Source organism: Homo sapiens, chromosome 10 (genome assembly GCF_000001405.40).
Source record: "Homo sapiens chromosome 10, GRCh38.p14 Primary Assembly".
In the NCBI taxonomy this organism is placed as follows: Eukaryota; Metazoa; Chordata; class Mammalia; order Primates; family Hominidae; genus Homo; species Homo sapiens.
Genome location: NC_000010.11, coordinates 24,265,048 through 24,287,994, shown reverse-complemented (window position 1 = coordinate 24,287,994; position 22,947 = coordinate 24,265,048). Strand labels below are relative to the sequence as shown.

Below are 22,947 nucleotides of genomic sequence, written 5' to 3'. Positions count from 1 at the left end.
TTTAGGATTGACCTGAGATGCCCTTCCAAACTCACATGTCTCCCTGGTGGCTACTAAAGGCCAGAGTGAACAATTTAAAAAGAAAAACAAAATACCCTCATGTTATTAAGTGAGATATGTCTCAACATTTGAATTCTAAACAGTTTGATGAATCGAGTTATGGTTTTATTTCATCAGTTCTCAACTAGTACAATGTAAGGCAGTTCATGGGTCCCAGAAAGCGGTAATGAATTTGATAGACAGCAGAGGTCAGATGTCTCATTCAGTTAAATTATGAGCAAAGCAAATATTCTTTATAAACGTTAAGCCACTTCTACTAACAGGCTAAAAAAAATCTTATTAACTAATTTCTTTGATTTCAACAAAATTCATTTCCATACTCACAGCAGGAAGTGATAGAGTTGAGACTGTAAGTATGAAAGAACATAGTATTTTTTATAATGAGCTTTGGGGAAAAATATAAAAGACAAACAAGCTACTCTCAGAGAAAAATGCCTTTAATTGCATCTCCAGTAGTTGGTGATTATTTCCTGTAATTAAAAACTTGATTTGTCGGCCTAAGTTTTTTCAAAGATGAACGTGGCTGTTTTTGGCTCACACAGGCTCTCACTGACCTAGGCATCCTGATTCAAAACAAGTGAGATGGCCAAGCACGGTGGCTCACGCCCGTAACCCCAGCACTTTGGGAGGCCGAGGCGGGTGGATCACTTGAGGTCAGGAGTTCAAGACCAGCCTGACCAACATGGTGAAACCCTGTCTCTACTAGAAATACAAAAAATTAGCTCGGCGTGTGGCGCATGCCTGTAATCCCAGTTACTTGGGAGGCTGAGGCAAGAGAATTGCTTCAACCCAGGAGGTGGAGGTTGCAGTGAGCCGAGATCACACCAACTGCACTCCAGCCTGGGCGACAGAGCAAGACTCCATCTCAAAAACAAAACAAAACAAAACAAAAAACAAGTGAGAACAGCTTCTGAGAGGTAAAGGCAAGATGCTTTGAAGTCCAAATCCATAAGCAAGAACTGAGGAATTTTGTATTATTTGGTTAAATCAAACATAATTAGACTCCCCCATGACTGAAAGTGAAATAAATGCGCTGACCAGGTACCCTTTCCAATTAGCACCAGGTAGGAAAGGAAAGAGGGTGTGGGTATTTTTGTTTGTCATATGTTTGACTATCTGAAGGGGACAGAATGCTTTGGTGAGAAACTACGGAACAGAATCTTAGCACCAAGAGTTTGGAGTAAAACAAAGTTACCCAGAATTAGGATTTTTACCATTCCTTCAGAAAATGCATAAATGTCTCTGGAAGACTTCTGAAGTCTTTTAAAGCCAGAATCAGCAAAGGATGAAGAGAATATAAAGGGGATAATGTCCTTGAAATTTTCTGCCTCGTTTCCCATCAAATTAAATCTATAATAATACCTCCCATTGAATTTTCCTTCCTGAATTGAAATTTCTCAAAGTCAAGTCCCGGTCTTGCACATTTAAGGAGTGATTGTGTGTATGTGTGTGTGTATGTGTATGTGTGTGTGTGTGTGTATATATATATATGCGTGTGTGTGTGTGTATGTATATAATTTGTTAAAACTAAGCATTATTAAGTGTATTAATGAGGAAGGGTAAACTTTATTCTGAACTAACTTTTAAAATCTATGAAGTTAAGAAGTTGATGATCACATTTAAGGTCTCTCAAAATACTTAGAAAATTTGGGTGTGAAAAATAAGTAAAGTTATACAAAGAACTCTTAAAATTCAATTTTTAAAAAACCAATTAAAAAAATGGGCAAAAGATCTGAACAACCACCTCACCAAAGAACACAAACAGATGCATATAAACATATGAAAAGATACACAATTCTACACTTAGAAAAACCTAGACTTTGCCAAAAGGCTCCTAGACCTGATAAACAACTTCACTAAGGCTTCAGGATATGAAATCAACATACAAAAATCAGTAGCATTTCTATATAGCAACAACATTCAAGCTGAGAGCCAAATGAAGAATGCTATTTCATTAACAATAGCCACACACACACACGATAATAAAATACCCAGAAATATTAATATATCTAACCAAAGAGGTGAAAGATCTCTGTAAGGGAACTATAAAACACTGCTGAAAGAAATCATGGACAACACAAGCAAATGGAAAAACATTCCATGCTCATGGATTGGAAGAATCAATATTATTAAAATGTCCATACTGCCCAAAGCAATCTAAAGATTCAACACTATTCCTATCAAATTGTGAATGTCATTTTTCATAGAATTAGAAGAAAAAGTATTCTAAAATTCTGGAACCACAAAAGAGCATGAATAGCTAAAGTAACCTTAAACAAAAAGAACAAACATATTACCTGACTTCAAACTATACTACAAGGCTACAGTAACCAAAATAGCATGGTGCTGGTACAAAAATAGACACATAGACCAACAGAATAAGAAATAAACCCACAAATAAAGCCACACAGCAACAACCAACTGATCTTCAACAAAGTCAATAAGACTAAGCCATGGGGAAAGGACTCCCTGCTGGGGAAACTGGCTAGCCATAAGCGGAGGAATGAAACTGGATCTCTACTTATCACCATATACAAAAATTACCCCAAGATGGATTAAAGACTTAAATGTAAGACCTCACACTATAAAAATCCTAGAAGAAAACCGAGGGAATACCCCTCAGACATTGGCCTAGGCAAAGAGTTTATGATTAAGTCTTCAAAAGCAATTGCAACAAAGGCAAAAATTGACAAGTAGAACCTAATTAAACTGAAGAGCTTCTGCACAGCAAAAGATACTATCAACAGGCTGAACAACCTACAGAATGAGAGAAAATATTTGCAAACTATGCCTCTAACAAGAACTAATATCCAGTATCTATAAGAAACTTAAACAATTCAACAAGAATAAAACCACCCCATTAAAAAGTAAGCAAAAGACGTCAACAGACACTTCTCAAAAGAATACATACGTAAGGCCAACAAGCATATGAAAAAAAGCTAATCATCATTGATCATTAAATGCAAATCAAAACCACAATGAGAAACCATCTCACACCAGTCAGAATGGTTATTACTAAAAAGCCAAAAAGTAACAAGTTGGCGAAGCTGTGGAAAAAAGGGAACACTCATATACTGTTGGTCGGATTGGAAATTAGTTCAGTCCCTGTGGAAAGCAGTTTGGAGATTTCATAAAGAACTAAAAACAGAATTACCATTTGACCTAGCAATCTCCTTATTGGGTATATACCCAAAAGAAAATAAATCATTCTACCAAAAAGACACCTGCACTTGTATGTTTATTGCAACACTATTGACAAAGACACAGAACTCAGCAAAGACATGGAATCAACCTAGGGGCCCATCAGTGGTGGAATGGATAGAGAAAATGTGGTACATTTACACCATGGAATACTACGCAGTCATTTTTAAAAAACCAAAATCGTGTCCTTTGCAGCAACATGGATGCAGCTGGAGGCCATTATCCTAAGTGAATTAGCACAGAAATAAAATCAGATATCATATGTTCTTACTTGTAAGTAGGAGCTAATAAACACACGGACATAAATATGGGAACAACAGACACTGGGGACTCCAAAAGGGGGAAGAGTGGGAGGGAGAGGAACAAAGACTGAAAAACTTCCTATTGAGTGCTGTGTTCACTATCTGGGTGACAGGTTTTATAGAAGCCCAAACCTCAGCATCATACAGTATACCCTTGTAACAAATCTGCACATGTACCCCCTGAATCTAAAATTAAAATTTCTTTTAAAAAAGAAAAGATGCTCAGCTGGGTACGGTAGCTCACACCTATAATCCCAGCACTTTAGGAGGCCAAAGTGGGTGGATCTCGAAGTCAGGAGATGGAGACCAGCCTGGCCAACATGCTGAAACCCTGTCTCTATTGAAAATACAAAAATTAGCCAGGTGTGGTCACCTGTGCCTATAGTTCCTGCTACTCGGGAGGCTGAGGCAGGAGAATTGCTTGAACCCAGGAGGTGGAGGCTGCAGTGAGCTGAGATCGCACCAATGCACTCCAGCCTGGGTGACAGAGTGAGACTCCGTCTCAAAAACATAAAAAAAAAATAAAGGAAAAGAAAAGAAGAGATGCTCAATATCATTTGTTATTAAGGAATTGCAAATTAAAACAACAATGTGATACTACTACACACTACTATAATGACTAAAATCCAGAAAATGATAATATCAAATGCTGACCAGGATGCAGAGCAACAGGAACTCTCATTCATTGATAATGGAAATGCAAAAATGGTACAGCAAATTTAGAGGACAGTTCATCAGTTTCTTTTCTTTTTTTAATTATTTTTTTGAGATGGAGTGTCGCTTTGTTCCTCAGGCTGAAGTGCGGTGGCACAACATTGGCTCACTGCAACCTCCACCTCCTGTGTTCAAGTGATTCTCATGCTCGGCCTCCTGAGTAGCTGGGACTACAGGCATACACCACCACTTCTGGCTAATTTTTGAATTTTTAGTAGACATGGGATTTTGCCATGTTGACCAGGCTGTTCCTGAACTCCTGACCTCAAGTGATCTGCTCACCTTGGCCTCCCAAAGTGCTGGGATTACAGGCGTAAGCCACCATCCCAGCCAGTTTGTCAGTTTCTTATGAAGCAATGAAAAGTTCTTAAGCAACAAAAAGACATGGACGAATCTTAAATGCATATTGCCAAGTGGAAGAAGCCACTCTGAAAAGGCTACATATTGTACAATTCTAATTATATGACATTCTGGGAAAGGCAAAAGAAAGAAGGAAATATAGATATGTGTCTATGCATGGTTTAGTATCCACACATATATTTCTTTGCTCTATCAGTCAAAGGCCCTAAAAGTAGCAACACCTCAGGCTGGTTGCGGTGGCTCATGCCTGTAATCCCAGCACTTTGGGAGGACGAGGTGGGTGGATCACCTGAGGTTGGGAGTTCAAGACCAGCCAGACCAACATGGAGAAACCCCGTCTCTACTAAAAATACAAAATTATCCAGGCATCATGGAACACGTCTGTAATCCCAGTTACTCGGGAGGCTAAGGCAGGAGAATTGCTTGAACCTGGAAGGCGGAGGTTGCAGTGAGCCGAGATTGCGCCATTGCACTCCAGCCTGGGCAACAAGAATGAAACTCCGTCTGAAAAAAAAAAAAAAAAAAAAAAAAAAAGAAGCAACACCTCAGTAGCAAAGAACACATCTTGGTTTAGAACTCCTTAGAGAGATGGTTGATTTTAGGATTGTGGCAGGAAATGTAGAAGATGAGCCTGGAGTATCTTTCAGTGCCATAAAGAAGAGCCACAAAACAACAACAAAAAACAAAGAACCCACAAACCACAAAGAAGAGGGGAAGAGGGTATATCAAAGGAACACAGGGGTCAACTGAAAGGGCTCCCAGTGGCCAAAGCTGGATGAATGTCAGCAACAATCAAGTAATACTGGATTCAAACCCAAAGTGAAAATAAATATCCATGAGTCTATACTGTTATAAACGAATGATTGAATAAATAAACACAGGGGGATAAATAAACACAAATTTCTTATGCAGAGAATTCCAAATAATTTATGCAGATTCTCCACCCTGAAGGAGGGGGAACATAGCACACTCCTCAAGTGTGGATAACACGTAGTGACTTCTTTCCAAAGAAGACAACATAGAAAAGAGGTGGGGGTGTGTGTGACCTTACAGTGGAGAAACCTGAAAAAGACTCCTCAGCCTCGTGATGAAAGCTAATATTTATAGCAATAAATCATATAGATTATTAGTATTCTTTTTTGAAAAAAAAATTTTGTAGAGGTGAGGTCTCTATGTTGCCCAGGCTGGTCTTGAACCCTTGGCTTCAAGAGCTCCTCCTGCCTTAGCCTCCCAAAGTACTGGGATTATAGGCATAAGCCACCATGCCTGGCCAGATTATTGGTACTTTTTTTGTTGTTGTTGAGATGGAGTCTCGCTCTGTCACCCAGGCTGGAGTGCAGTGGTGTGATCTCCGCTCACTGCAAGCTCCGCCTCCTGGGTTCACACCATTCTCCTGCCTCAGCCTCCTGAGTAGCTGGGACTACAGGCACCCGCCACCACACCTGGCTAATTTTTTGTATTTTTAGTAGAGATGGGATTTCACCGTGTTAGCCATGCTGGTCTCGATCTGACCTCATGATCTGCCTGTCTTGGTCTCCCAAAGTGCTGGGATTACAGGCGTGAGCCACCGAGCCCGGCCGATTATTGTTACTCTTGATATGATATAATGATATAATGAGAATGGCTTTTCATTTCTGTGATCTTCCTTCCAAAAACATATTAACCCTAGTCTACTCATGATAAAATCATCAGACAAGTCTCAATTGAAGGAGATTCTACAAAATAACTCACCAGTACTCCTCCAAATTGTCAAGGTCATTAAAAACAAGGAGAGTCTGAGAAACTGTCATAGCCAAGAGCCTAAGGAACAGATCTTACCAAGCAATCTAACTGTATCATAAATATATGAAACAGTCTCACTGAGGGTAAGTGTATGTGGAAAGGTGATGGGGAGAAGATGCTGACCTAATTAATGTTGGAAACAAACTATTTCTGTAAGACAAAAGACAAAAGAAACTGTCCAAACACACTGTACCCTAATTGATAAAGTTCTTTCCCACAGGGCATGGGTTAACAATTCTGATCTTGTAATTCATGTATACTGAAATGGAATGATTACTTACATCACACATAGGTAAAAACGATGGCAAAAAAATGAATATGAACTTTAGATAATAACTGTGTTAATATTGGTTCATTAATCATAACAAATGTACCATATTGATGTAAGATGCTAATACTAGAGTAGACTGCATACATTGTATGTGGGAGCTCTGTGCTATCTTCACAATTTTTCTGTAAATCTCAAACTGTTCTAAAATGAAAACTTTATTTTAAATACACATCAAAGTTTTAAAAATTACATTATTTTCTAGCAAATATTGCCTATCAGCAGTCTAGCTTTAATAAACAAAACACACTGATTTGAAATTAGCTATCAACATCCCCATCTATGGAATACTGACCTTCACATGTGTTGATATTGTGCTATTTGAATATAAACCCAACTTTCTCTAGAGTATTTGATAATTTTATATTCTTAGGTAGAGAAATGTCCATCTTAAGTTGAAGAAGTATAATTAGGTTTATTCTTTTTTTTTTTTTTTTTGAGACGGAGTCTCGCTCTGTTGCCCAGGCTGGAGTGCAGTGGCGCAATCTCTGCTCACTGCAAGCTCCGCCTCCCAGGTTCACTGCATTCTCCTGCTTCAGCCTCCTGAGTAGCTGGGACTACAGGCGCCTGTGACCATGCTTGGCTAATTTTTTGTTTTTTAGTAGAGATGGGGTTTCACCATGTTAGCCAGGATGGTCTCGATCTCCTGACCTCGCAATCCACCCGCCTCCGCCTCCCAAAGTGCTGGGATTACAGGCATGAGTCACCACGCCCGGCCAGGTTTATTCCTTTATGGAAACATTTTATTTACCTGTGCGGAAAAGGTCATTTTCAATCTAGAATCTAGGTATATTCAAATTAGTGCTGAAATTCAGCATCTTTTCATTTTACTTTATAGCACCCTTTCACTTTCCTTCACTTACATTATTCACCTGTGTGTACTCCAGATTATTTCAGAAATCTTAGAAAAGCAAAAATGTTTGTTAGAGTTTTGCAAACAGGCTTCTAGCCTTTTGTCCTTAAAATACGGACCCCTATTCCTTGCCAAATCTGGTGAGTCAAGGTCTTCATCCAATTTAGAATTCATTAGCATGAATGACATGAAACTGCAGATATTTGACTGTTTTTGACATACGTAATCACCAATATCCTATGGTTCCACCTAAAAGACATGAGCATTTCTTTTCTAGAGAGGCATCAATGATTAAGGATAAAGGAAGAACATCAACCTCTACCAAACCGATCCTCATGGGCCTAAGCACGCCATCCCATTAAAAAAGATAAAGGGCCTATATGTTCATTTTATTTCAGAGAGTTATTTCTTCAACAGAGGAGCCTTCACTGAGTTCCATGCACCATGAATTTTCAAATCGGTTTTTAAGAAAATCAAACACTAAACTTAGAGAACCCCCTTAGAATGTTAGTTGCAACTATCAGATGAACTTGTACCCTCTTAACGACTATTTTTTCTGTCCACTAGCAATATTATTTTTTTACCATAATAACATATTTAGGATGTATTTTTCTCCTGTCACTGTAAAGAGAAGTAAAAAGTTTTAACTCCAGTTAATTGGTAAATCTGTGCTTCTATTTTGAATGTATTACCTTTTAGTTTTATAAGTTTCCATATAAATCCCAGATTCATAATGAGAAGCTCTAATTTCATTACACTTTTTGATTGAAATAAAATATTTAATAGCTATTTATGTTTCATATGCAGAATTCATAACCCTTTGGTTTATAATAACTTTCTCATAGACTCTTCTGCAAAAATCCTTCAGTCCCTTTCACAAACACTTCATTTTCTAGGGAAAATTTTCCACATACTCATTAATTAGTAATATCTCCCAGTTACATGATAATATCTTCACTTGAGCAATATTGTAGATTTTATAATGATGTATTAAAGATAGTTATGACTGAGTCAGATGCCATCAATGCCAACAGACTTTGAAGTCAAGGATGCTACTGGACTTGGGTTATGCAAAGGACACAATAGCCTCTGCAGATCTTTTTTTAAAAAAAAAAACAAACAAACAAAAACACCACCACCACCAACAAAAAAAAAAACAGACACTAGAAATGCAAAGAAGAAAACAAAACAATGGGGAATCCCTGCACTGTTTCATCCTCAATCATCCCCATTAATTTGAGTAAACAGTAATCTGAGCTGGGTGTGGTGGCTTATGCCTGCAATCCCAGTACTTTGGGAGGCCAAGATGTGCGGATCACCTGAGGTTGGGAGTTCAAGACCAGCCTGGCAAACCCTGTCTCTACTATAAATACAAAAATTAGTGGTGGCCCGTGACTGTAATCCCAGCTACTCAGGAGGCTGAGGCATGAGAATCGCTTGAGCCTGGGAGGCAGAGGTTGCAGTGAGCTGAGATTGGGCCGCTGCACTCCAGCCTGAGCAACAGAGTGAGACTCTGTCTCCAAGAAAAAAAAAAAAAAAAGTAATCTGAGTACACCAACAGCAGATTCAAATTACTCAGTCTTCACAGTTAGCAACTTTAACTCAGTTCTTATTTAAAAACAAGGAAGTGAGTGGCCAAAGGAAGTAAATTTCTCTCTAGCATAACACTGTAGAGCACGCTAGTGGTAACACCCACTTTATTTGCAGTCCCCACTAGACAGCACACATTAGGTTACTCATCTCTTTCATTCCTTCTGTCTCCCCAGTGGCTAACATCATGCCCAGAACAGCAGAGTTGGTATCCAAATATTCACTGAATAGACAAATAAGACTCAATACAAGGGACTTGCCACTTGCCTAGTGCCCACATTGTGTCTGCCACTTGCCACATGCTTTCGATAGATTATCCCTTATCCACACAACTCTGCAAGCTCTGTATTATTTTTGGACACTTCACAGATGAAGGTCAGTGGGATTAAACAGCTTTCTCTAAGCCACACAGCTCATGAGTAAATTCAAAACCGGGTCTGTGTAATTTCAAAATTCCTGCTTATCTCACTCCAAACACTGCCTCTCCCTGGTCTGCACACAATGGTCTGAGTTCTAGGTTTCCGGCCTCACAGAGTAACTCTCATCCATCTTCTACCTGACAGTCTTTCAGAAATGAAGACTTTCCAGAAGCCAGTGGTCAGTCTGACCCTTTACACCGCCACTGTGGCTGTAATGTGCTTCTCCACAGTGTTTTGGCCTGCTCCAAAGTGGCTCATGCAGACCCTGCCTCTCCTCGCTACTTTCACACACAGCCTAAGAGGTGGCGTCATCACACTCCACAGCATCTCACCCATGACGGCGTCCTCGAGCTGCACAGACTGTGCGTCCGTCCTCAAAGGACAAAAGGCATAGGTCCATAGAGCTGCTGTCCAAAAGCATCACAAAGGGAAGCCAGCAAGCACTGCTTTCTATCACAGGGGAGAAGTTCCCAGCTGATTGCTGGCAGTGCTGCCACTGTCTTTTGCCCGTCAGAGGGTGAGTCAGAGAGAGGACTCAGGAAAACCTACTGTATTAGGCCATTCTCATGCTGCGATTAGGACAAACCTGAGATTGGGTAATTTATAAAGGAAAGAGGTTTAATTGACTCACAGTTCTGCAGGGCTGGGGAGGCCTCAGGAAACTTACAATCATGGTTGAAGGGGAAGCAAACACGTCCTTCTTCACATGGCAGCAGCAAGGAGAAGAATGAGTGCCCAGTGAAAGGGAAAGCCCCTTATAAAACCATCAGCTTTCATGAGAACTCACTCACTATTATGAAAATAGCATGGGGAAAACCGCCCCCATGATTCAATTACCTCCCACCAGGTTCCTCCCACAACATGTGGGGATTATGGGAACTACAATTCAAGATGAGAAGTGGGTGGGTACACAGCCAAACTATATCATCTGCATAGCAGGTGGCCTTGTCTCCCCATTCCTGGGCTCCCCCAGGGCAACCTGTCCCCCATCCCACTCACGAGGCTTCCCTCTAGGAAGCCGCTAAGAAGAGACCTGCCACCCACCTGCTTGCTCCACTTTGAGTGGGAACCACACCAGGGTCAACCTCAGAAACATCTGAAAAGTTGGAAGTAAATTCAGCAGTCTAGCAAAAGCAGTCTTCTGCAACTGAGGAATCCAGGTTGAGCGCTGCCATGACCTGTATTTGAAAAGCTGCCACCTTCCAATCAGGCCAGAGTTAAAGAGCAATTTGAAAAGAGCAAGAATTTCCAAGCTATAAAACTAGGGACATGATTCTAAGAGGATAAAACATTTTAAGATTGGTTTAAAAGCTTTTGAAAAATTTAAGGCCAGGCATGGCAGCTCACATCTATAATCATAGAGCTTTGGGAGGCCGAGGTGGGAGGATTGCTTGAGGTCAGGAATTTGACACCAGCTTGGGCAACACGGGGAGACCCCATCTCTACGATTTTTATTTTTTTTTTAATTAGCTGGACTTGGCTGGGTGTGGTGGCTCATGCCTGTAATCCCAGCACTTTGAGAGGCTGAGGCGGACGGATCACAAGGTCAGGAGTTCCAGACCAGCCTGGCCAATATGGTGAAACCCTGTCTCTACTAAAAATACAAAAATTAGCTGGGCGTAGTAGCACATGCTTGTAGTCCCAGCTACTCAGGAGGCTGAGGCAGGACAATCACTTGAACTTGAGAGACAGAGGTTGCTGTGAGCCGAGATCGCGCCACTGCACTACGGCCTCGGTGACAAAGTGAGATTCCATCTCAGAAAAAAAAAAAAAAAAAGCTGGACTTGATGGCATGTGCCAGTAGTTCCAGCTACTAGGGAGGCTGAGGTGGGAGCATCACTTGAGTCCAGGACTTCAAGGTTACAGGGGCTATGATTGTGCCACTGCACTCCAGCCTGGGTGACAAAGCGAGACCCTGTCTCTTAAAAATTTTTTGTTTTTAAATTCAAACCCAGTTTTCCTCAGGACTCTTATTAACAGCTATCTAAGGAATAGGAAGGGATGCCCTCAAACCGGGCAGAACGAGATGGAATTCTAAGTCATTTTGTCTTTTGCATTTCTGAAAAGACTTTCATTTTTCAAAGGACATCAAAACTGAAATGCCTTATAAATCCCTTTGTGTTTCTGCGTTCTGTTCAATGGCATCAATAAGATGGATGATCAGCAAATGGCATCAAACTCCATTTGTATTCTTATTAGAATAATAACACGTAAAATGATATGAAATGAAACAGCAGATTCCAATGACCTTGTAGCCCAATTCAATTACTATTTCACTAAATAACGACAAAACTGACAGTCCTCAAGCTGCTGAATTTATGAATTAAATTCAACTTCTCTTCTACATTCTGAGCAGGACTGAGTGGAAAAAGAAATGGTCAGTGAGGACTGGGGAGGAGTTTCCTTCTCTTTGCTATTTAATGCAACATCGCCAAGCCCACTGGAGGGAGGGGTATGGAAAGACAGTTTAAAAAGGAATATCAGGACCAGAAGGGAGAACTGATGGCCAGGGCCCTTGCTATAGTTTGCTCCTGCAGATGAGACACTGCTTTGGAAAATTTTATCATTAACCAAACTGCACTGATGCTAAAAGTCAATAAAGCCAAGTATTAAGTTGGAGCAAAAGTAATTGCAGTGTGTGCCATTACTTTTAAATGGGAAGCACTGCAATTACTTTTGCACCAAACCAACAGCATCAATCTTGCCTGCATCTTAAGCAAAGGCTTAATGAGAAAAAAAACATACTTGAGACTACTAAAGCATTATACAGTCAGTCCTCATTACTAGCAGATTCTGTATTTGTAAATATGCCCATCACCTAAAATCTGTTTGTGACCCTCAAATTAATACTCCCAAATGTTTGCAGTCATCATAGACATGGCAGGACAGTGGACAACTGGAGTTTCCCAACAAGCACGTTCCCAGGTGGCGTCTAACTAAACAACACTCTGCTTTTTTGTTTCAGTTTTCATACTGTAAGGAAGCACCCTTTCCACAGTCTTTTTAGTGCCACAAGTTTCGCATTTTTGTGTCTTTTTGTGTCTGTGTGTGCACCTGCATGCGTGTATGTGTGTGTGAGTGACTTCACTATTTAAAATGGTCCAAGCCAGGTGCAGTGGCTCATGCCTGAAATCCCAGCACTTTGGGAGGCTAAGGCAAGAGAATTGCTTTGTGACAGGAGTTCAAGACCAGCCTGGAATATACTAGTCATGTTCATTGGGGAATTAAGACCTCAAAAACATAGCCAGACCCTGCCTCTACAAAAAAATAAAATTAAAAAATTAGCTGGGCATGGTGGCGTGTGCCTGTAGTCCCAGATATTTGGGAGGCTGAGGTGGGAAGATCACTTGAGCCCAGGAGTTTGAGGCTCCAGTGAGTTGTGATTGTGTCACTGCACTCCAGCCTGGTCAAGAGGGCGAGACCCGGCATCTACAAATTTTTTCTTTAAATAAGAAAAGAGAATAAATTTTAAAAATAAGAAATAAAATGAAATGGCCCTTAAGTATGGTGTGGAAGTACTATTTGGCATTCCTAGGCTCAAGAAGGCTGTGATACACCTTACACAAAAAATAAGTGCATTAGATAAGCTTAGTTCAATGCTAATGAATCAATAATATATATTTTAAAAGGTGTCTTCAAACAAAAACACAGGTAAAATAAGGATTTTTGTTGATTGGTTGATAAAAAGGTAACCAAAGACTCACAGGAACCTAACCCTGTATTTCCCCTAGGAAATTCAGTATTAACTAATAAATTCAGGACTCACTAATGCAGTATTTAGGGCAAGTTTATAGAACATCAATACTGTGAATAACAAGAATTGACTGTATTTTCAAACTGCAGTAAAAATGCCATAAGTATGTAAAATAGGACTTGTAGGAAGACAACAAAGTATATTTAGATGTAGCAGGTTCATCTTTTTTACTTTTTTTGCAGATGTGAGAACTTGACAATTTCTAACCACTGGACTTAGAATGGAGAACACAGCCAATCTGGGTGACAGAGCAATATTCCGTCTCAAAAAAAAAAAAAAATTAGCTGGACTTGGTGGCATGCACCAGTAGTTCTAGTTACTTGGGAGGCTGAGGTGGCTGGTCATGAACTCCTGACCTCAAGTCTCCCAAAATGCTGGGATTATAGGTGTGAGCCATTGTGCCTGGCCAGCAATGGCAATATTTTCTTACTACCAACTCTCAGAAAACATACATTATTCTCCATAATTATCCAATAAATTTGGACCCATCTGAAAATAAGCATCAGTCACTTTTCAGTTTATACATGTATGCTATTAGTCATTACTCTGGTAATATGTGAAATGTAAATCATTGCCTTATTACTTACTGGATATGGGCTGTTTTTTGGTTGAGGTATGCGTCTAATTTATTGGTACTACATTAGAAAATGCCCTACACCAAATATCTGCTCTGATTGGACTAAGATCCTACATTTTTATATTTGGGAATATTGCTCAACTTGAGAAAGGCAAGATGTCCCAATCCCTGCAACAGTAACTTGGACTTTTTTTTTTTTTTTGAGACAGAGTCTTGTTCTGTCGCCCAGGCTAGAACACAGTGGCACGATCTCGGCTCACTGCAACCTCCATCTCGTGTGCTCAGGCGATTCTCCAGCCTCAAGCCTCCCGAGTAGCTGTGATTACAGGCATGTGCCACCACACCCGGCTGATATTTGCATTTTTAGTAGAGACAGGGTTTCACTATGTTGGCCAGGCTGGTCTCGAACTCCTGACCTCAGGTGATCCACCCACCTTGGCCTCCCAAAGTGCTTGGATTACAGGCATGAGCCATGGCGTCCAGCCAATAACTTGGACTTCTAATTAAAGATGTGACGTGGGCCAGTTATGCATAGAGGTAAGCCAAGGGCCTCTTATGTGACACCCTCACTGGACTGGGACAGATTCTGCCATGTCATTTACCTTGAGTACTCCAAAAGGAAGAACATAAAAATAATAATGTAATGAAAGTAGCAAGGGTATGTTTAACTTCAAAGAAGATCATTAATACTTAGCCTGGACTGTCTGAGAATATGACTAGAGAAAAGGGAATGAAGGAAAGAGGAGTACTTAATCTATGCTTATTGTTCAAATGCTCTTCTCTGCTCACACTTTGCAAATGTTAATAAGAGTCTGATCTCTTGATAGTAACCATAGGGAAATTTATCAGCCTCTAAACATAATTTCTCCCTTTTCTCTATCCTGAGTCTCCAATGAGTTGGGCAAAATGCAGAGGCATCTCATTCATTCAGAAAATGCCATCTTTTCTCTCTCTCATATATGTAGTGTTGCTAAAATTAACTAAAAAATTAACTAGTTTTAATTTTCTTCTTCTTAAAGGCTTCTGTCCATAACTGTCCAAGGCGCAGAAGGGCACAGACTTTTACGCAATGAGAGTCCCCTGACATTCTGCTGTCTAAGACTTCATTCTCAGAGTGCAAGGACCAGAGAAAGAACTGGGGTGGATGCTATTCCACGTTTGCTCTTTTCATTAAGACTTTTCAAAGAAGACTTTATTCCAACATGCATTTAAAAGAAAAAGAAATGAAGAATTCTTCCTTCAGGCGAATAACTCATAAGGGGAAAAAAACCCTTGAATATGATTTATTTCACAGGGATCATTGAAGAGCACGTGAAAACCGATCTCTGTTGAAATTCCGAAATACTTGTTAATGCCACCTTGAAAGAAGTAAAGAATTTCGAAGTCAGTTATTAAATAAATCCATGACTATTTGAACAGCTATCTCAATTTGGCTGGAATGTGGCTAGAATTCGAGTTATGTACATTGAGTTTGAGTAGAATGTGGCTTTGACAATGAGTCAACCTTAGTATTTTCTTCCCAACAATGATGGAGCGGCTTGGTGAATGCAGAGCTCCCTAGAGTAGCTTTTAGAACTCGTACTCTCCTTTCAACAACAGATTGCTCAGTTGAGAAGTTTTAGAACTGAATGAAAACTCAGGCATCATTTAGTTATTTGTGCAACTTGAATATTTTTTCCAATAAGATAACCAAGGCCAAAAAAATTAAGTGGAAAAAATGTCACACATCGAGTTAGAAAGTAGAACTAATCTAGATTCAAGCACTCCTAGCTACTAGTCCAGAGTTCTTATTACTAACCTGGACCTGCAGTGAGCACCACTGACATCCCTAACTGAGTAGTGACTTCCCTAGTAATCTCCCTTATCTAATTTTACTGCATAAACACATTGCTATCTGTTACAGGAATGGGATCTTAATCATGTAGAGAGAAGGGAAAACAAGGCATGAGGAACCTTTGAACCTTATTGCTAGGCTTCAAGTAGAGAGATGTCAGGTTGTCTCCCGAGTCCACCCTTCCCACCCAATTTCCTACTCTCACGAGCATCCCATGGGCTTTGGTCTCTCTGTGCCTCTTGTAACCAACCTAAAATGGAGATGCATAAAAGTGGCCTTTTATGCCACTTTTAAGTGGGCTATCTTATCTTGTATAAGGCTAGGTCATACTTTTGAATAAAACAATTTTTATTTGAAGAGGCTGGGACCAAGAAATATATATAGCTAGAATGGGCTGCGTACAGGGGGAAAGTTTATTAAAAGGCCTGCGTGTGCACAGTTTCATTATTCTCACTCTTTTTTTTTTTTAAGACAGGGTCTCACTCTGTCACCCAGGCTGAAGTGCAGTGGCACAATCTCGACACACTGCAGCCTCAACCTCCCCAGGCTCAGGTGATCCTTCCACCTCAGCCTCTCCAGTACCTGGGACTACAAGTACATGCCACCACGCCTGGCTAATTATTATAATTTTTTGCAGAGATGGGGTTTTGCCACGTTGCCCACGCTGGTCTTGAACTCCTGGGTTCATGTGATCTACCCACCTCGGCCTCCCAAAGTGCTAGAATTACAGGTGTGAGCCACCGCACCATCCTATTCCTACTCTTCTTTCCTTTAGTAAAGAGTAAGTATAAACTAACAAATTGGTTATAGTCAGAACTGAAATTAGCACTTATGATGTGGAATCTCAATCAAGATTCAGATAGCATGTTGGTTATATTGTGAGGTTTTTTCAATATATATGACCATGAAATTTCACTCCTAGGGAGGTGATTACTAAGTTCAATGTTACTGAGTTTCTTACTCAAAAACTGTGTTGATATTTTTCCTTTCAGAATGACATATTTTATGTCAATCAAAATAGAAAATAAGTCCCAAATTGAATGGCACTTAGAAAAATAACTTTGATGCCAAATTGGAAAAGAAAGCTTCAAAAGTACTTTGAAAATGGAGCCAAACTACCAATTAAAGGAAAAATTATAGACAAATTAAGAATATGCTTTTTCCAATGACACTGAACCTCAATCATTTTCTCCATAATGACTTGAAAACCCTGTAATTCTCATAGAAATCTGGCAGTCTCACCCATTTCCCCTCAGCAGAATAAATAGTGAAGTATATGGTGTGCTTTGTAGATCAAAAAAATATTGCTGTATGATATAGGTGGGGGGACACATTCCACAGTTACTCCCAAATATCATCAAAAGAAAGAAATCTGGCTGGGTGCAGTGGCTCATGCCTATGATCCCATCACCTTGGGAGGCCAAGGCAGGTGGATTACTTGAGGTCAGGAGTTCGAGACCAGCCTGGGTAACATGGTGAAACCCCATAACTACTAAAAAAAATAAAACAAAAATTAGCTGGGTGTGGAGGCAGGCGCCCGTAATCTCAGTTACTTAGGCGGCTGAGGCAGGAGAATCTCTTGAACCTGGGAGGCAGAGGTTGCAGTGAGCTGAAATCGCACCACTGCACTCCAGCCTGGGCAACAGGGTGAAAAAAAGAAAGAAAGAAATCTAAGCTACTCTTCACAATGCAATAGCTTAATCGATTGCTGTTATTTTTCATGCTGGCTAATTTTCAAAAAGATGAAAATAAGAAAGATGGATGCATTCATGTGATTTAGTGACAGTGGAGTTTGTGCAAATAAATTGCTTTGATGATGATGGAGGGATGGGTTGTAAATATTTTATCTAACAGCCCAAGAGAATGGCATTATGGAAACCCAGTAAGTGGGGGAAGATGAGCCACCTATGACCAAGCTCATATGAGTGTCCCACAGCTGGATGAGACAGTGTTCAGTGACCAAACTGACTCTTGACATGAACCACAATCTTCAGTTTGAATCTAGAATAATTGTGCAGAACGTGAAAGGTATACTAAGAAAGATGATAAAAATCAATTATTCTGTTTTGAAAAAATCAAAGAATATATTAAGGATTTTCCATTTCTAACACCTTCCTTCTACAGTTAGGGAAACAGACCAGACTTGGGTGGACTGAGAACCAGAACTCGGCAATCTGTGTTCTAACGCTTACTGCCCACTCCTGTGGCAGGGGGCGATTCTTCCATACCTGTGTTGATTTGGGTGGTGTGGGCCTGCTGCAGATGATGGTAGTGGGAAGAGACTAGAGGCCTTCTCATAGTCTTTTCCAATCACAGCATTGGAAATTTAGCATTGTATATAGTACGGGGCCCCAATCTTTAGAAGTGTTGCCACTAGATGTCAATTTGAGTTCTTGACACTCTGCTACTCCTAAAAATGCCCCTTGATAAATATCTGCAGTGTTTGAACATTTCCTAGAACTTCTTGAGTTAACCAAACCTGTTAGATGATGAAGGGTTGCAAGAACAAAAACCAATGACTCACTGTCCCAGAACAACATTTCTTGAGGAGAAAAACCAACCCCACTCATTTTGCCTTCAGTGTGGTAAGCCCAGAGGGAATGGGTGCTTGGATTCAAGTATTAGCCTTCATGTTTCTGCCAAAGTGTAATTTGCTCTGTTTTTTGATGAATGTTTAAAGCAATCTTTTTGTTTTTTAAGTCAGGGAATCACTCTGTTGCCCAAGCTGGAGTACAGTGGCACGGTCATGGCTCACAGCAGCCTCAAACTCCAGGGCTCAAGCCATCCTTCCACCTCAGCCTCCCGAGTAGCTAGGACTACAAATGTGTGCCAACAGGCCGCCTCATATGTTTTACTTTTTTGTAGAGAAAGGATCTTGCTCTGTTGCCCAGGGTGGTCTCAAACTCCTGGCCTCCAGTGATCTTCTCACCTCGGTCTCCCAAACTGTTGAGATTACAAGTGTGAACCACTGCGCCAGGCCACAATCCTTTTTTTTTTTTTTTTTTTTTTTAATTATACTTTAACTTTTAGGGTACATGTGCACATTGTGCAGGTTAGTTACATATGTATACATGTGCCATGCTGGTGCGCTGCACCCACTAACTCGTCATCTAGCATTAGGTATATCTCCCAATGCTATCCTTCCCCCCTCCCCCCACCCCACCACAGTCCCCAGAGTGTGATATTCCCCTTCCTGTGTCCATGTGATCTCATTGTTCAATTCCCACCTATGAGTGAGAATATGCGGTGTTTGGTTTTTTGTCCTTGCGATAGTTTACTGAGAATGATGATTTCCAATTTCATCCATGTCCCTACAAAGGACATGAACTCATCATTTTTTATGGCTGCATAGTATTCCATGGTGTATATATGCCACATTTTCTTAATCCAGTCTATCATTGTTGGACATTTGGGTTGGTTCCAAGTCTTTGCTATTGTGAATAATGCCGCAATAAACATACGTGTGCATGTGTCTTTATAGCAGCATGATTTATAGTCCTTTGGGTATATACCCAGTAATGGGATGGCTGGGTCAAATGGTATTTCTAGTTCTAGATCCCTGAGGAATCTCCACGCTGACTTCCACAATGGTTGAACTAGTTTACAGTCCCACCAACAGTGTAAAAGTGTTCCTATTTCTCCACATCCTCTCCAGCACCTGTTGTTTCCTGACTTTTTAATGATTGCCATTCTAACTGGTGTGAGATGATACCTCATAGTGGTTTTGATTTGCATTTCTCTGATGGCCAGTGATGATGAGCATTTTTTCATGTGTTTTTTGGCTGCATAAATGTCTTCTTTTGAGAAGTGTCTGTTCATGTCCTTTGCCCACTTTTTGATGGGGTTGTTTGTTTTTTAAAATGGACATATATTGGCAGGAGATTAGCAAGTCAATTAACAGGCAGGGAGAAAATATAGTGAAGTTTTACACCATTCACCCACCTAATTTAAAAAGAATTTCAAATATAACAGGTTGTTGACATATTGTGCATGAAAACTACTAGTTCGCCTAGTTTTCATGAAAAGTCAATATAGGCGACCTGACCTTTCTAGCCAAATGAACTAGAGAGTAATGACTTGCTCTGATTCCTTTGCCATTCACAGACAGCTTTGTGTGTGTTTTTTAAAATAGTGCCTGCCCGCGTAGCTTACTGTTAGTGTACAGATGATGAACTAACTGCTGGAGACAGGAGCTGCAGCGCAGGGAAACAAAGTTAAAGGGCCAGTTACAACTGCCAATTACAGGGTCATCAGAAGGCACATTATCTCTTTAATTAGGTGTAAGATAATGGGAAATGAAATTTGATTTATGAAAATTTAACCCACACCCAAATTTCAATAGTCCATCTATGGAGTACTCTTAGGCAAACCATGCAGCAGTGTGAGTAGAATATGCAGTTGTTTCTAGGCCAACTCATACCAAGTACTATGCCTAGGTGAAAAGAAAATAGGCTTGTTTTGATTGGTGCTTTCTCTTTCTAAAGCATGATTACTCATATTAAGCATTAACTACAAAATACAAAAATAATGGAACACTCTAAAAAAGTCTATTTAGCTTTATCAGCAGTCTATCATTCTCTTAGGATCAACTCAAATATCCCTTCTTGGGGCCAGGCATGGTGGCTCATGCCTGTAATCCCAGCTCTTTGGGAGGCTGAGAAAGGAAGATCATTTGAGGCCAGGAGTTCAAGACTAGCGTGGGCAACATGGCAAGATCCCATCTCTACAGATATAGGTATAGATGTAGATATATAGTTATAGATACAGATACAGATAGATGGATAGCTCTTTCCGTTTTGTAACTTTTTCTAGGTTCCCTTACCTTGGGAGAACTCTTTCCTCTTCTGGGTTTCTGTAAGACCTTACCCATATTCCTGATAGAATATTTATTCCATTTGTTTTATGTATGCCAGTCTCTGCCAACAGACTCCTTGAGAGACCACAAGTGGTCTTTATAAGTCTTCATCTTCCCAGCAGCTATGTGAATTCCTGGCTCTTAGGAATAGATGCCTAATAAAATTAATTATACTTATGGAGAAGAGGAAAGACACAAAGCTATAAATAATTCAACCTCGTTATTATAAAAACAGACAAATTTCTACTCCAAACTCCTCACCTCCAATTATAGCTGGTAACATGATCACAATACTATCTTGGCAGGTGTTTGTGGATTCCTGCCATCTAGCCATAGGGGAAGATGTGGGTAGGTGGCACTGTGTCTGGTTCCTTCTGGTGGGTTCGTGGTCTCGCTGACTTCAAGAATGAAGCTGCGGACCTTCGCAGTCCTGAGTGTTACAGCTTTTAAAGATGGCACCGACCCAAAGCGTGAGCAGTAGCAAGGATTTATTGCGAAAAGCAAAGGACAAAGCTTCCACATCGTGGAAGGGGACCGAGCGGGTTGCCACTACTGGCTGGGGTGGCCAGCATTTATTCCCTTATTTGTCCCCTCCCAAATTCGATTTCTGTCCTATCAGAATGCCCTTTTTTTAATCCTCCACAACTGGCTACTTTTAGACTCCTGCTGATTGGTGCGTTTTACAGAGTGCTGATTAGTGCATTTTACAGAGCGCTGATTGGTGTGTTTTACAGAGCACTAATTGGTGCATTTTACCATCCTCTTGCTAGCTACAGAGCGCTGATTGGTGCGTTTTACATTCCTAACTAGAGTGCTGATTGGTGTGTTTTACAATCCTCTTATAAGACAGAAAAGCTCTCCAAGTCCCCATTCTACCCAGGAAGTCCAGCTGGCTTCACCTCTCAGCACCATGGCTGAATGCAATGGTATCAGGGAAGGAGAAAAGATGAAGTCTTTGGACAACTGATAAAAAATGATCAGTCTTTAGGTCGAGCATGGTGGCTCACGCCTGTAATTGCAGAACTTTGGGAGGCTGAGGCTGGCGGATCACCTGAGGTCAGGAGCTGGAGACCAGCCTGGTCAACATGGTGAAACCCTGTCTCTACTAAAAATACAAAAATTAGCCAGGTGTGGTAGTGCATGTCTGTAATCCTAGCTACTCAGGAGGCTGAGGCAGGAGAATTGCTTGAACCCGGGAGGCAGAGGTTGCAGTGAGCTAAGATTGCACCACTGCACTCCAACCTGGGCGACAGGGTGAGACTCCGTCTCAAAAAAAAAAAAAAAAGATCAGCCTTTGCAGATACACAAATTTGATGTTGATTACACTGGGGCCTCCAGTGTTCTGTATAAAACAAAGTATCTTTCTGCCCTTTTCTCTTTGGAATTTTATTTCTTTCCCCTTCCTTTCCTTTAAAGGGAAATCTAGAGTGTAGTTCTTTTGTTTCTCTCTGAATTTACTTACTCAGACTTCGCTGACTCCTCATCCCACCTCTACACTATTTCAGTCCCCCTTGCTAAGCATTCCTTATCTTTTCTTACTACTCACCACCCTTGTAACTATTTATTTTAATGTTTTATTCCCTCCAAACTTTAATATACATGAAGATGGAAACCTTGCCCATCTTGCTGACCCCTGTACATCTATCATCTAGCATAATGCCCGGTTCAAAACAGTAATCCTATTTTTTTCAGCGAGGGGAGGAAAAAGAGAAGAAGGAGAGAGAAAATGTCCACATGAAGATGGGAGAGACAAAGACATTAAGAGAGGAAGAAGACAGCTATGGCCGGCTGCCCAATGCCCCTTCACCCTTGACTCTTCCAACTCTGAGTTGCACCAAGAATGAAGAGCCTTTGTTCAGTTATTGTCCTGGGATAGAGACAAAGCTAAGAAAGCAAGCCAAGAGGAAGGAGGAATATTTCTCTACAGGGCAGTACATGTGGGATTAAGGCATGTGAGCTAAGAGGAGGATGAAAGTCACAGTGTTGTCAGTTATAAATGATGTCAAAATAGTCTCCAAAGGACTACATACATACATGGTGGCATTATGAAGACGATTGTTATTTGACCTAATCAAAATGTCTGTGGATCTGAAACCACGTGAAAGACCAACTTAAGCATCATCTATGGTCAAAGATATGAAGCCCTCAAGTCCAGATAAACATGAAGGCCATGGCTAATGTCTTTGAAATATCCAAGCTGGGCACAGAGGCTCATGCCTGTAATCTTAGCACTCATCACTTTGGGTGGCCAAGGTGGGCGGATTGCTTGAGCCCAGGAGTTCGAGACCAGCCTGGGTAACATGGTAAAACCTGGTCTC

The 22,947-nt window shown here is 40.6% G+C and overlaps 1 protein-coding gene and 1 non-coding gene across 31 annotated transcripts in view; both read right to left on the bottom strand.

Annotated features, from left to right (window-relative positions):
* Nucleotides 1–22,947, bottom strand: part of KIAA1217 — an 853,117-nt gene that overhangs the window by 259,849 nt on the left and 570,321 nt on the right. The window lies entirely within an intron of this gene.
* MIR603 (microRNA 603) lies at nucleotides 12,214–12,310 on the bottom strand. Its single transcript, NR_030334.1, has one exon. It is a non-coding gene; the product is annotated as a microRNA 603 (primary transcript).